The sequence below is a fragment of the Homo sapiens genome, chromosome 4, assembly GCF_000001405.40.
Source record: "Homo sapiens chromosome 4, GRCh38.p14 Primary Assembly".
In the NCBI taxonomy this organism is placed as follows: domain Eukaryota; kingdom Metazoa; phylum Chordata; class Mammalia; order Primates; family Hominidae; genus Homo; species Homo sapiens.
The window spans coordinates 63,343,061-63,357,276 of record NC_000004.12 but is presented as its reverse complement, the minus strand read 5'-3'; the positions used below and the strand labels follow the sequence as shown (position 1 = coordinate 63,357,276).

Here is a 14,216-nt window from a genome sequence, read left to right as displayed (position 1 = left end):
CCACCAGAGTAAAGCTAATTAACCCAGATATGGTAAAGCTCAGAAAAAAATGATAAAATTTTTTGTCATCACTTAAGCAAGGGTCATAAAGACATTACTCAGACAACCAAAGTTAAGTTACTCTCTAGGTCAGCTCCAAAATCAATCAAGGGGTGCACTAACTGATTGGATTATTTAGTTTTTCATGCCACATTTTGAAATACTGCTAGCACCTATTCACAAAATTAAAAGGAAAACAGTCAAATTTGATTATCTTTTTTCTAAAAGCAAGCTGTCTTAGAGCTTCAAAAACACACAACGCAACATTAACACTTCCCATGCTCAAATAATTTTGGAAGTGTCTGAAACATATGGCCACCACACAAAAACTTCTTACTCTTATCCAGTGAAAACCACTGGGATTTGGGATAAGTTTGTTGTTGTCACTTCGAAGTGTATGTCATTTAAAAAATGTTTGACAACTTGTTATTGGGGTTTTTTAGTAACTGTTTCTATTACAGAGGAATACAAAATTGCTTTAAGACCAAAATACCCGTTGTATTAAAATATGTACTGTGTTCCAACTCATCAGAGTATTGCGTGTCTTAGTGCATGGAGAGGATATATATATATTTTTTTCAGAAGGGTAACTGCTGAGGTAAAAAAAATATATATACATAGAAAGTAGAAACTAACATCAGTTCAGAGGCAACGTGATAACACATATACTTGAGTCTGATAGTTCCAATGTCAATGAGGGATTCCCACAAGAAGCTTTCTGCCATATTTAAATTGTAGATGACTACAGCCCAAATGATATTGCACTGGGAAATTCAACATTTGTGGATATAAATTATATGTCCAATTTGTAACTATGAAATAAACATTCTATGGTAACAAAATGTTTCGTAGTTGGCTGCAAATGGAAGCCCATTAAACCTAAATAAGGATTTACCTGAGAGAGAGTATGATTTAAATACAAGGCTCATGATGAAATCTACTCAATACAACCACGTAGTAAAAAAGGTCATATGGCTGTGCCCCACAAGGCACTGAGATTTCAGATTTAACTAAAACTTGACCCTTGATTTACAGCATGGCCTATGACAACATTTAATATACAGGTAATGACTGCTTTTGTTAGGAAGCTGTACGAAATACTATTGTAATCCAAAATGACTTCTTTCATAGTAATTTTCTTTTCATAATGTAATATTTAGTGTAATACTAGTGTAATTGGTAAGAATAATTTGACTTATTTACCCATACCTCATTTCATGTGCAAAAATAATATTTGACAGTTTTCCACTAGCATTTTGTTCTATAAATATTGCAATAGATGCATGAGAAGAAATTATCACAAGCAATTTCAATTAAAAAGTGTTGCTAGATCATCAGATGGTTGACTTTATAGGATAGAGTTAATTTACAAATGAACTGATAAATTCTATCTTTATCTTGGGAGATGCAAAGGTATATGGTTTTGGCTGTTGGCCAAGATAAGGTCAGGGGAATTCAGAACATGTTACTTAAAGTACAAAGTCTACCTGACTACTGCCAGAGTTCATTTGTTCATTGATAGTTTTGAAGGGCATAACAGATTAAGTAGCCTGATATGACTAGAAAACCAGCAATTAGACTAGGAACATCTGTCTCAGGATCTCCCAAAGTTAAGATGCATGACACAGATGGTGATTTACATTAGAAACAAAACATGTCTATATGTACACAAAATGACTGTGGAAGTTTTACTCCTGAAAGACTCTCAGAATCCTTGGGCTTGCCTATTCTGTATCTTTGGCTGCACCAAATATTAGCCTTTAAATAAAAGCTTTACTTATTTATTTATTTATTTGAGATGGAGTCTCGCTCTGTTGCCCAGGCTGGAGTGCAGTGGCCTGATCTCAGCTCACCGCAACCTTCGCCTCCCAGGTTCAATCAATTCTGCCACCTCAGCCTCCCAAGTAGCTGGGACTACAGGCATGCGCCACCATGCCTGGCTAATTTGTGTATTTTTAGTAGAGATAAGGTTTCACTCTGTTGGCCTGGCTGGTCTCGAACTCCTGACCTCATGATCCACCTGCCTCAGCCTCCCAAAGTTCTGGGATTACAGGCGTGAGCCACCGCACCCAGCCAAAAGCTTTGCAAGAGTATGATTTGTGCATTCTTGTGAGTTCTTTTAATATCTAAACTTGTAAAATATTCTCAGTTCTTATTTTAATCAAAACTGTAGCTCCAAGCATTAGTGGTTTTGGTTGGGAAACATATTAAAATGTCCATTAAAAGGGTTAATAAATCCTTTCTGGAAGTATGCAATTGCAATAGACATCGGTCTTCATAAAGCCACTTTCTCTCTTCCTAGGACAATTTTTTAAGACCATAGCCAGGTCACTTGAGAACTTTCAGTGTTATTTGTCCCACATATAAATTTTCTTTAGGAGAGAAACAATCAGGAATAGATTCAACTTCAAAGATAACAGTGGAGGGTAACTGTGGTAGGCCAATGGCCCACCAAAGACATCTATGTCATAAACGCCAATAATTTGTTAGCTCACATAACAAATATAACTTTGCAGATGAAATTACATTAAGATCCTTGAGATTCATGGAGAGATTATTCTGTACTATGCAGGTGGGCCCAGTGTAATAAAATAAAAGATCCTTATAAGAAAGAGTCAAAAGTGTCAAAGTGAGGAAAAGGAGATGTGCCAATGAACCAAGAGGCTGGAGTAAATTACTTCGAAGAAAAAGAAAGGTGGTCGTAAACCAAGAAATTTGGGCAACTTTTAGAAGCTAGAAAAGGCAAGGAAACAGATTCTTCCCCGAAGCCTCCCAAATAAATGCAATACTACAGATATCTTGATTTGGTCCCTTCAGATTCATTGTTGAAGTCTTACCTCCAGGACTGTAAGATACTAGATATACTATTCTAAGTCACTAAATCTGTGTAAATTTGCAACAGAAGCAAAAGAAAATGAATATTGTAATCAATCTGGTTCATTATCAAATTCTATGCTATTGATTTTTCTTTTTTATTTTTCATGAATTTCCAGGAAGAGATTTGTTCACAATTTAAAACTGTATCACCACATTGAAAATGTAGGTCTCTTCCCCACATAATCGTCAGAATAGAATCACAAAACAAAACAAATGTTTTGATTAATAGAGGGTCTACAGAGAGAAGAAGTGGCTGAGATAGAAGGCCAAATCTGAAGGTCATTCAAGATTCCTGCCACTGACAGTTTTTCATTATTCTAAGAAAGAAATTATGGAAAACAGGAGATTTTATAAATGACAATATGGCACTGATACAACCCAGAAACAGTGTTTTGCTGTTAAGGGCATTTGTGGACAGATGGGAGTGACTTCTTTTTTTGAGAGTCAACATTTTATTGGATGATGTTTGTCTTTTGTTTATTTAATAGATTTTATATTTTAAGATAGGAGAGGGCAATTTTTCCTGTGGTATTCCTTTTTCTTACAATTTTAGCAATGGGTTTTTTTCTAGTTTAGATATAGTCATTTCCTTAACCATGGTTTAGCTAATTGCTTAATCTTAAGAGTTATTAATTTGGTATGCATTTTTTTCTTGGTCAAAATGTCTTCGATGTGCCCAGCGAGCTCTTGTAATTCAGGAAAGGGAGGAAGTCTGCCATCTTATCTTTTGTTTGTAACAGAAGGTTTAAAATCATCCACAAGGAAAGTAGATATGGTTTTTATGGTATTTTTACATTCATTCAGAGCAGCGTATTCCCAGAAGGTTCCAGTTAAGTCATCTTTGAAATGAATGCTTTTTAGTCTATCAGACTGAATTTTTGATCATTCAGTTTGAGAGAAAGACATCAGACATCAGACATAACTGCTAAGATGAATTTTCTTATTCTTGGACTCATTTAGTATCCATTCACGGTCAAATTTCAATAATATACTTGATAGTATTCTGAAAATCAATCCTTCCTGCTCTTTTCTAACCAAGTTTTCACATCGCCAGGACCTACAAGGATATAAACTAATTGATGGAGATTAGGGAATCCAAAGTAAGAGTTGATAAAGCAACCCCAAATCCTTCAGTGAACTTTTAGCCTTTCTTTATAAGAACTAAATTATGCAAATGTGATATTAAACAAGATTTTAAGTTAAAACAAAACAGAGAATTTGGTCATTATTATTAACTGCGCTGTAAGATATTATTTTAATATCCAAGGAATGGGGTATGTTCAGAACAGGCCAGTGCATGAAAGAGAAAAGGGGATGGTTCAGATGCTACAGACAGAGAAGAGAGAGCAGAGAGGAAAGGGGGAAGTTGAAGTATGTAGAAGCGGGACGCCCACATAGAGTTGGATCAGCATAAGTAGAGAAGAATTTTATTAACTATTTCCAAAATCATCCAAAACTGAACATTTTTGCTAAGTCTTTATGAAGACATCATTTATTTCTCTTTTCCTGACCTTGGTATTAACTTCTTAATTGGCTTGGTTTCATTGCTCAGGGATGTTATAGAGGAAATGAGGGGTAGGGACAAGAATATCAGTGCCTAATTCTTTGTATTCTGTGTGTTCTTTTCATTTGAATATTAGCAATTACTAGTGTTTCAATAAATCTCAGCAATGTGGTGTCAATTGAACTAAATAATCAAAAATTTGACAAGATTCTACCAAGGAAAATTTAGAACTTCAGTGGCCATTATCGATAATTTAGGGTAGATTATATAACTACCCTAGGCTCCATTAGAATAAAGATTTCAAAGATTTAAACATCTAATGATCAGTGTATTTGGATTGTGATGAAGATACCATTGAAGAGCAGGAAAATACAAAAATTATTTATCCTAGGACCACATGAGTAAAATTAATGTAAATGTGAAAAATCTAACACCAAACTTAAGTTCTCACAATTTTTTTAAGTATTTGATCCTTCTATTTTAGGATTTCTCCAGAGAAAGATTATGAAACATAGAAGAAAATATCTCACAGTATGTTAGCATATTTCTTAAATCAAAGTTTAGTATGCAAGTTATAACTTTCAGTCTATTAAGAAGGTGTATGCTTAGATGACTTTTCATCATTTTAAAAACTCGAACACACTGTAAAGGAATAAAGACTTACAACCTATTAAAGTATTCATGTTTCCTCAAAAAACAAGAAATATTTTCATAAAATACTATTTAAAACACTTTCCCCTTTTTAACATAGTGTGAATATAGCATTACAAAAATATTAAGTACTTAAGAATGATACTCTGCCAATCCCTATATTATCAATAAACTCTATACACTTTTTAATTTTCATTAAACTCAGGAAGTTGAAGATTAATAAGGAAGAAAACTAAGTTTCTTTGTTCAGAATCTTTACTACATAGTGAATGTCCAAGATTTAATTCACAATTAAAATCTAAACACCGTAATTAAGAAGCAGATGGAATTTTAAGTATATGGAGCCTTTGAACCCATCAGAGTTAGGTATGAAAATCTGTTCTCACACATAGAATTTCCATGATATTGCACATGTTACATTATCTACTCTGTTTCCTTATTTTTAAAATGAGAATCGCAATAAATATCACATGGCTCCAATGGGAAAATAAAATAAAATATAAAATATGAAACATCTAATGATAAAATTGAAAAATTGTTGAAACTTTTAAAAATATCTTCATTCTTTTCAAAAACATGAAGTAATTCTGCGCTTAACAACAGTTTAGCTACTTACAAACATAAATGCTATATAAGTTTAATATAACATTTTAGTTAATAGAATTACTTTTTTTTTCCATAGTAACCTTGTTTTTATCCTTCATATGAGAAAGGGCGTTCTCAGTATTTTCACCTTTACAGCTGTATGTTTGTTTTCATCTTTTTCCATCCATAGATCCTGTTCCTAATAATATAAACCATCATTGATAACTTTAGTAAGTTCAGATGTGATTTTTGCCTGAGACATGTGGTTGCCTCTTCAATCTCCTCCAGGATGTTTTTTCACATAAGGTGGTGTCTGAGTTACAATCAAAATCTTGTTTAAGTCTTGGTCATCAATTTCATAATCTGAATCATTATCAGACCAATCAGTTAATGTGTTTTTTCATCCTATTTGTTCAGTCTTTTCATCAAACAAAAATCAAGTTCTTCTTGTTCTGTTTCTTCTGAAGAACATAGCTGATTTAATGACCCCTCAGGAACAGACACTCATTCCCTCAATTTCACTGGGGCTGGCTGATGTCTCTTTTTTACTTCCATCCCAGGTTCTGAGTCCAAGTCAGGCAAACTGGCAAATCTCTAGACATTGCTTGAAGAATACTTGTTTCACTATTTTTCTTTGGAGTCAATGGGCTTCCAATTCTTGGGGAATTTGGGGCAGACTCTGTATGCGAGCAAAAGGCTTAGCCTGGTACAAACTCTGGACAATCAGTTGAGAGAAGTCTGTTTGTGGTACGTTGCATGGAGGAGGGCCTGGAATTGGCCATTTTTCTGGTTCTTTTTTCTCATTTTCTCATTCATAATTTCTACTTCTGTGCTATCCTTCAGTGCCTCTGTGATAAGGTTTGTAGTGAGAGCCTGAACACGTTGGAAACCAGCAATCAGGAAAATAGGCAAGGAATCTTGTTCACCCCTCTTTCCTCGAAGAAAGTAGTCTCTTTCCGAATTTTCTGCATTGAAGTAATGTTCAATTTGACGCTTAATACACTCTTTAAGCAATGCTTCTTCCACACGATACACCTGTACCCCTGTACCATCATCATAGTAATACATCATACTGGTATTAAGTTCTGTTTGAAATGGCTGAAAAGTCCTTTCACCATGTTCTTGATAACCATATTTATCTCTATCTCACCTCCAATTTCATATATAATTTCTCCTATTGTTATGTGTTGGTTTACTTGCTTCAGGTTGACATCTTGAGCTGTTCCAGGATCCAGGTCTTTCTTGACTCTCTGGTCTTACATCATCTGAGTGGTACCCACGTGTGCTTATTAGCTCTCTTTCGTTGATTACTTGACTAAGCCTCATCCTCACTGACATTTTCACCAGGACCATTTAATTTTGTTTCCCGGTTTTGTTTGTTCTTTTACTTCTCTTTCCAACCTTCTCTTCTTTTTTCTTTTCTATCTTGTGGCTTTTTATTTCCTTGGCTGAGGACGCTCTGATATCCAGTGTTCACTAATTCACTTGGTGTTCGCCAATTCTCCATATCCTTGAAATCACTAGCCTTGTTGGATTTCTTTTTCTTGAGTTTTCCTGCTTTCATAATTTTGAGGGAACCGAACTCTGCCTCCAGGGTTTCCAGCGCTGGCTGCGGCCGACCTGTTGTGGTTGGGGACAGGTGTTGTGAAGGCTTTTTGTTCCAGGGATTTCCCTTAGGCAGCAGCAGGGGCGGCTGCCGCTTTTCCTTAGGGCCAGCTGCCGCCTCCTCCATGGTATCCTAGGCCAATGGATCCCGCAGCAGCGGCGGCACTGGCCACCGCGGCTCCCTGCTGAAAGGGCCCCCGGGCCCACGCGCCTTGTGCGCCAGATGCAGCGCCAAGGGCCTCACGGGGACAGCCACCTGGGGCATGCTGCGTGTAGGCACCACCAGGGAGGATGGCTCTCCCCGCGCCCCCTCGCTGGTGGTGGCCTTGGCCTTCTCCTCCCTCGCTGCCACTTTGCCCTCATGTTCGGCCAGGGGCTGATGCTCGGCCGGCCGGTTCACCCTGGCCAACAGCGACTCCCTCTCAGCAGTCACAGCGGGCGGATCCTCCTGAGAATGAGCGGCAGACACCGGGTAGTGAGCAAATATCGTCCCTCTGCCCCAGCCGCCCCAGTCGGGGTGGCCCCGAGGCCAGGGAGCCCAACTTGCCCGTCTCACCGCCAGGGCACCGACTGGCTCCGGCTGGGGGCAGAGAACCCCAGAGACAGCCGCCGTCACCGCCACAACCAGCCAGCCTAGGCCGCCCAGTTCCCGGCGTGCCGCCCCCTCCCGGAACCGAACGCCTGCCGGCCCAATCCTCTCGGCAGCGCACTCCCAGAGCCAGACACCAAGCGCCGGGAGCCCCAACCAGTAGCCCTGAGCCCTCACCTGGCGCGGGCAGCAGCTGAGACGTAGCAGGCCGGGGCTGAGGACCTTTACCGGAGTCGGGGGGCACAAACACCTAGAACAGGTAACTGCCCGCGGGGCCGTGGACGCCGAGGAAGGGCGGCCCCAGAGGATGGGGTGGAGCCTCCCTAAGGAGCTTGATATGGCTACTCACCGGCTGCTGCCCTCACAGGGCCTCCCACAGGAGTTGACAGATTCGCCCGCCCAGGTGCCCACCGGCCCCGCCCGGCCGAGGGCCTACCCCCTCCTAGCGGCCCTCCCAGGGCAAGGAAGAACAAAGGGGATGACTCCTGACTCCCGGGCAGAGGCCACCCTTACTGCGGGCTCAGGGGTGGAGTGCACACCAGGCCTCTGTGGCTGGCTGCAGGCTCCTGCCCTGCTCACAGGGCAACAGCAGCCAGGGGCATGGGCAGTCCACGCACATGGCACCTGGAGAACCAGGCGCTCACTTTGCCCTTAGGTCCTAAAGCCAGGTTTCACGTAGGCTAAGGGAGGGGACACAGAGTCGACCCCTGACCTGGGGGGCTGCAAGTGAATTGTGCTCCCCACCATCCCCAACCCCCACCCTCACCCCCCACCCCCATCCCCCCAGCCCAGCTCTGCCACTTGGCCCCCTGGAAACACTCTTTTTGAAGAATCTGCTCAGGGACATTTCGGAGCCCATTGAGGTCTGTAATGAAAAATGATATCCTGTGATAAAAACTAGAAAGAAGCTATCTTTGAAAATGCTTTGGGATGTATGGATTCATTTCACAGAGATAAACCCTTCTTTTGTTTCAGCAACTTGGAAATACTGTTTTGCAGAATCTGCAAAGGTACATTTGGGAGCCTGTGAGTCCTATAGTAAAAAACCGAATGCCCTGTGATAAAACTGGAAAGAAGCTATCTGTGTGAAAGCTTTGCGATGTGTGGATGCAACTCACAGTTAAACTTTCTTTTGATTCAGCTAGTTGGAAACCCTCTGTAGAATCTGCGCAGGGATATTTGGGAGCCCATTGAGGCCTATAGTGAAAAACCGATATCCCACAATAAAAACGATAAAGAATCTATCTCTTAAAATGCTGTGCGATGTGTGGATTCATCTCACAGAGTTTAAACTTTCTTTTGATTCAGCAGGTTGAAAACACTCTTTCTGTAGAATCTGTGCAAGGACATTTGGAAGCCCGTTTAGTCCTATAGTGAAAACAGACATCCCGCGATAAAAACTAGAAAGAAGCTATCTGTGAAAACACTTTGTAATGTATGGACTTATCTCACAGACTTAAATCTTTCTTTTGATTCAGCAGGTTGGAAACACTCTTACTGTAGAATCTGCACAGGGGCATTGGGAGCCAATTGAGGCCTATGGTAAAAAAACAAATATCCCACTATAAAAAACAGAAAGAAGCTATGGGTGAAAATGCTTTGTGATGTGTGGATTCATCCCACAGAGATATTCTTATCTTTCGATTCAGCAAGTTGGAAGCACTCTTTCTGTAGAATCTGTGCGAGGACATTTGGGAGCCCGTTGGATTCTACAGTGAAAATAGCTATCTGTGAAAAAGACTTGCGATGTGTGGACTCATCCCAGAGAGTTAAAACTTTTTTTTTGATTCAGCAGGTTGGAAACACTGTTTCTTTAGAACCTGCTCAGGGATATTTGAGAGCCCATTGAGGACTATAGTAAAAACAAGATATCCCACTATAAAAACGAGGAAGAAGTTATCTGTGAAAACACTTTGCGATATGTGGATTCATCTCACAGAGTTAAACCTTTCTTTTGATTCAGCAGGCTGAAAACACTCTGTAGAATCTGTGCAGGGACATTATGGAGCCCATTGAGGCCTATATTAAAACCCAATATCTCATGATAAAAACAAGAAAGAAGCTATCTGTGAAAATGCTGTGAGATGTGTGGATTCATCTCACAGAGTTAAGCCTATCTTTTGATTCACCAGGTTGGAAACATCCTTTCTGTCGAATCTGCACAAGGACATTTGTGAGCTCATTGAGTCTTACAGTGAAAACAGATATCCTGCGATAAAAACTAGAAAGAAGCTGTCTGTGAAAATTCTTTGCAATATCTGGATTAATCTCACAGAGTTAAACCTTTATTTTGTTTCAGCAGATTGAAATACTCTTTCTGTAGAATCTGTTCAGGGACATTAGGAGCCCATAGAGGCCTGTACTGAAAAAGCAATATCCCACAATGAAAAGGAGAAAGAAACTATCAGTGAAAATGCTTTGCGGCAATGCGTGGATTCATCTCACAGATTTAATTCTTTCTTTTGGTTAAGCAGGTTGGAAACACTCTTTCTGTAGCTGCACAAGGATATTTTGAAGCCCATTGAAGCCTATAAAGAAAAATCAATATCCTGCAAGAAAAATTTAATCAGGGTATCTGTGAAAATGCTTTGTGGCATGTGGATTCATCTCACAGAGTTAAACCCTTGTGTTGACTCAGCAGGTTGGAACCACTCTTTAGAATCTGTGCAGTGACATTTGGGAGTCAACAGTGGCCTATAGTGAAAAACCGATATCTCAGGATAAAAACAAGAAAGAAGTTATGAGTAAAAATGCTTCGTGATGTGTGGATTCATCTCAAAGAGTTAAACCTTTCTTTTGATTCAGAAGATTGGAAACATTCTTTCTGTACGATCTGTGCAGGGATATTTGGCAGCCCATTCAGTCGTATAGTGAAAACAGATATCCCATGATAAAAACTAGAAAGAAGCTATTTGTGAAAAAGCTTCACAATGTGTGGATTCATCTCAGAGAGTTAAAACTTTCTTTTGATTCAGCAGGTTGGAAACACTCTTTCTTTAGAATCTGCACAGGGACATTTGGGAGCCCTTTGGGGACTATTGTGTAAAATCAATATCCCACAATAAAAACTAGAAATAAACTATCTGTTTAAAAGCTTTGCAATGTGTGGATTCATCTTACAGACTTAAACATCTCTTTTGATTCATCAGCTTGCAAAACTCTTTCTATAGAATCTGCACAGGACAGGACCATTGAAGCCTATAGTGAAAAACTGATATCCCACAATAAAAACTAGAAAGAAGTTATCTGTGAAAACTCTTTGCAATGTGTGGATTCATCTCACACAGTTAAACTTTACTTTTAATTCAGCAGGTTCAAAACACTATTTAGAATCTGCACAGTGACATTTGGGAGTCAATTGAAGACTATCGGGAAATTCAGCCAGATATCGGGCAAAATTCACCTCCAATATTTCACATACGTTCTTTTCTATTTTCCCTAAGCATCAGCCAATATGAGAAATAAAGGGACAGAGTACAAAAGAGAGAAATTTTAGAGCTGGGCATCTGGGGGAGACATCACATGTTGGTAGGTTCCATGATGCCCCACAAGCTGCAAAACCAGCAAGTTTTTATTAGGGATTTTCAAAAGGGGAGGGAGTGTACAAATAGGGTGTGGGTCACAGAGATCATGTACTTCACAAGGTAATAGAATATCACAAGGTAAATGGAGGCAGGGTGAGATCACAGGACCACAGTACCGGGGTGAAATTAAAATTGCTAATGAAGTTTTCGGCACCATTGTCATCGATAACATCTTATCAGGAGACAGGGTTTGAGAGCAACCAGTCTGACCAAAATTTATTAGGTGGGAATTTCCTCATCCTAATAAGCCTGGGAGTGCTGTGGGAGACTGGGGCTTATTTCATCCCTACAGCTTGACCATAGAAGATGGCCACACCCAAGGGGGCCATTTTAGAGGCCCACCCTCAGGGGTGCATTCTCTTTCTCAGGGATGTTCCTTGCTGAGAAAAAGAATTCAGTGATATTTCTCCCATTTGCTTTTGAAAGAAGAGAAATATGGCTTTGTTCCACCTGGCTCACAGGCAGTCAGAGTTTAAGGTTATCTCTCTTGTTCCCCGAACATTGCTGTTATCCTGTTCTTTTTTCAAGGTGCCCAGATTTCATATTGTTCAAACACACATGCTCTTCAATTTATGCAGTTAACGCAATCATCACAGGGCCCTGAGGTGACATACATTCTCCTCAGCTTATGAGATGACAGGATTAAGAGATTAAAGTAAAGACAGGCATAGGAAATCACAAGGTTATTTATTGGCGAAGTGATAAGTGTCCATGAAATCTTCACAGTTTATGTTTAGAGATTACAGTAAAGACAGGCATAAGAAATTATAAAAGTATTAATTTGGGAAACTAATAAATGTCCGTGAAATCTTCACAATCCACATTCTTCTGCCATGGCTTCAGCCGGTTCCTCCGTTTGAGGTCCCCGACTTCCCGCAACAGAGGACTATAGTGAAAAACCAATATCCCGTGATAAAAATGAGAAAGAATCTATCTGTGAAAATGCTTTGTGATGTGTGGATTCATCTCACAGGGTTAAACCTTTCTTTTGATCCAGCAGATTGGTAACGTTTATTCTGTAGAATCTTTGCAGGGACATTTGGAAGCCCATTGAGGCCTATAGTGGAAAACCAATATCCTGAGATAAAAACTAAAAAGAAGCTATTTGCCAAAAGGGTTTGGGACGTTTGGATTCATCTCACAGAGTTAAAACCTTTCATTCAATTCAGCAGATTGGAAACATTCTTTCTGTAGAATCTGTGCAAGGACATTTGGGAGCCCATTGTGTCATATGGTGAAAATAGATATCTCACTATAAAAACTAGAAGGAAGCTATCTGCAAGAATGCTTTTTGATCTCTAGATTCATCTCACAGAGTTAAAACTTTCTTTTGATTCAGCAAGGTGGAAACACTCTTTCTGTAGAATCTGCACCAGGACATTTTAGAGCCCATTGAGGCCTATAATGAAAATCTGATATCCCACAATAAAAACGAGAAATAATCTCTCTGTGAAAACGCTTTGGGAAGGGTGGATTCATCTCACAGAGTTAAACCTTTGTCTGATTCAGCAGGTTGGAAACACTCTTTCTGTAGGTTCTGCACAAGTACATTTGGGAATGCATTGAGTCCTATTGTGAAAATAGATAGCCCATGATAAAAACTAGAAAGAAGCTATCTGTGAAAATGCTTTGTGACAAGTTGATTCATCTCACAGAGTTAACTCTTTCTTTTGGTTCAGCAGATTAGAAACACTCTGTAGAATCTGCACAGGGACACTTGGGAGCCCATTGAGACCTATAGTGAAAAACAGAAATCCCACAATTAAAAACTAGAAATAAGCTATTTGTGAAAATGCTTTGTGATGGGTGGATTCATCTCACAGAATTCAACATTTCTTTTGATTCAGCAGGTTGGAAGCACCTTTTCTGTAGAATCTGCAAAGGGATATTTGGGAGTCCATTGAAGCCTTTGGTAAAAATCGATATCCCATGATAAAAACTAGAAAGAAGCTATCTGTCAAAATGCTTTGTGATGTGTGCATTCATCTCACAGAGTAAAACCTTTGTTTTGATCCAGCAGGTTGGAAACACTGTTTCTGTAGATTATCTGCAAGGTCATTTGGGAGCCCATTGAGTCCTATTGTGAAAATAGATATCCCACAATAAAAACTAGAAAGAAGCTATATGTGAAAATAATTTGTGATGTGTGGACTCATCTCACAGAGTTAAACATTTCTTTTGATTCAGCAGGTTGGAAACACTCTTTCTGTAGAATCTGTGCAGGGACTTTTAGGAGCCCATTGAGGCCCACTGTGTAAAACTGATATCCAGCGATAAAAATGAGAAAGAAGCTATCTGTGAAAAAACTTTATGATGTGTGAATTCATCTCAGAGTTAAACCTTTCTTGTGATTTAGAAAGTTGAAAACACTCCTTCTGTAGAATCTGCACATGGACAACTGGGGACCCATAGAGGCCTATAGCAAAAACTGATATTCCATGATGAAAACTAGAAGGAAGCTATCTGTGAAAAACCATTGTAATGTGTGGATTCATCTGACAGAGTTAAACCTTTCCTTTGATTCGGCAAGTTGGAAACACTTTTTTTGTAGAATCTCCGAAGGGACATTTTGGAGCCCATAGAAGCCTATACTGGAAAACTGATATCCCGTGTTAAAAACTAGAGAGAAGCTATCTGTGAAAAAGCTTTGCAATGGGTGGATTTATCTCACAGAATTAAACAATTCTTTTGATTCAGCAAGTTCAAAACATTCTTTCTGTAGAATCTGAGCAGGGATATTTGGATATTTGGGAGCCCATTGAGGACTATAGTGAAAAACCGA

The 14,216-nt window shown here is 39.5% G+C and overlaps 1 pseudogene; it reads right to left on the bottom strand.

The window, feature by feature from the left end:
* Window positions 5,803-7,260, bottom strand: LARP1BP1 (LARP1B pseudogene 1; annotated as a pseudogene).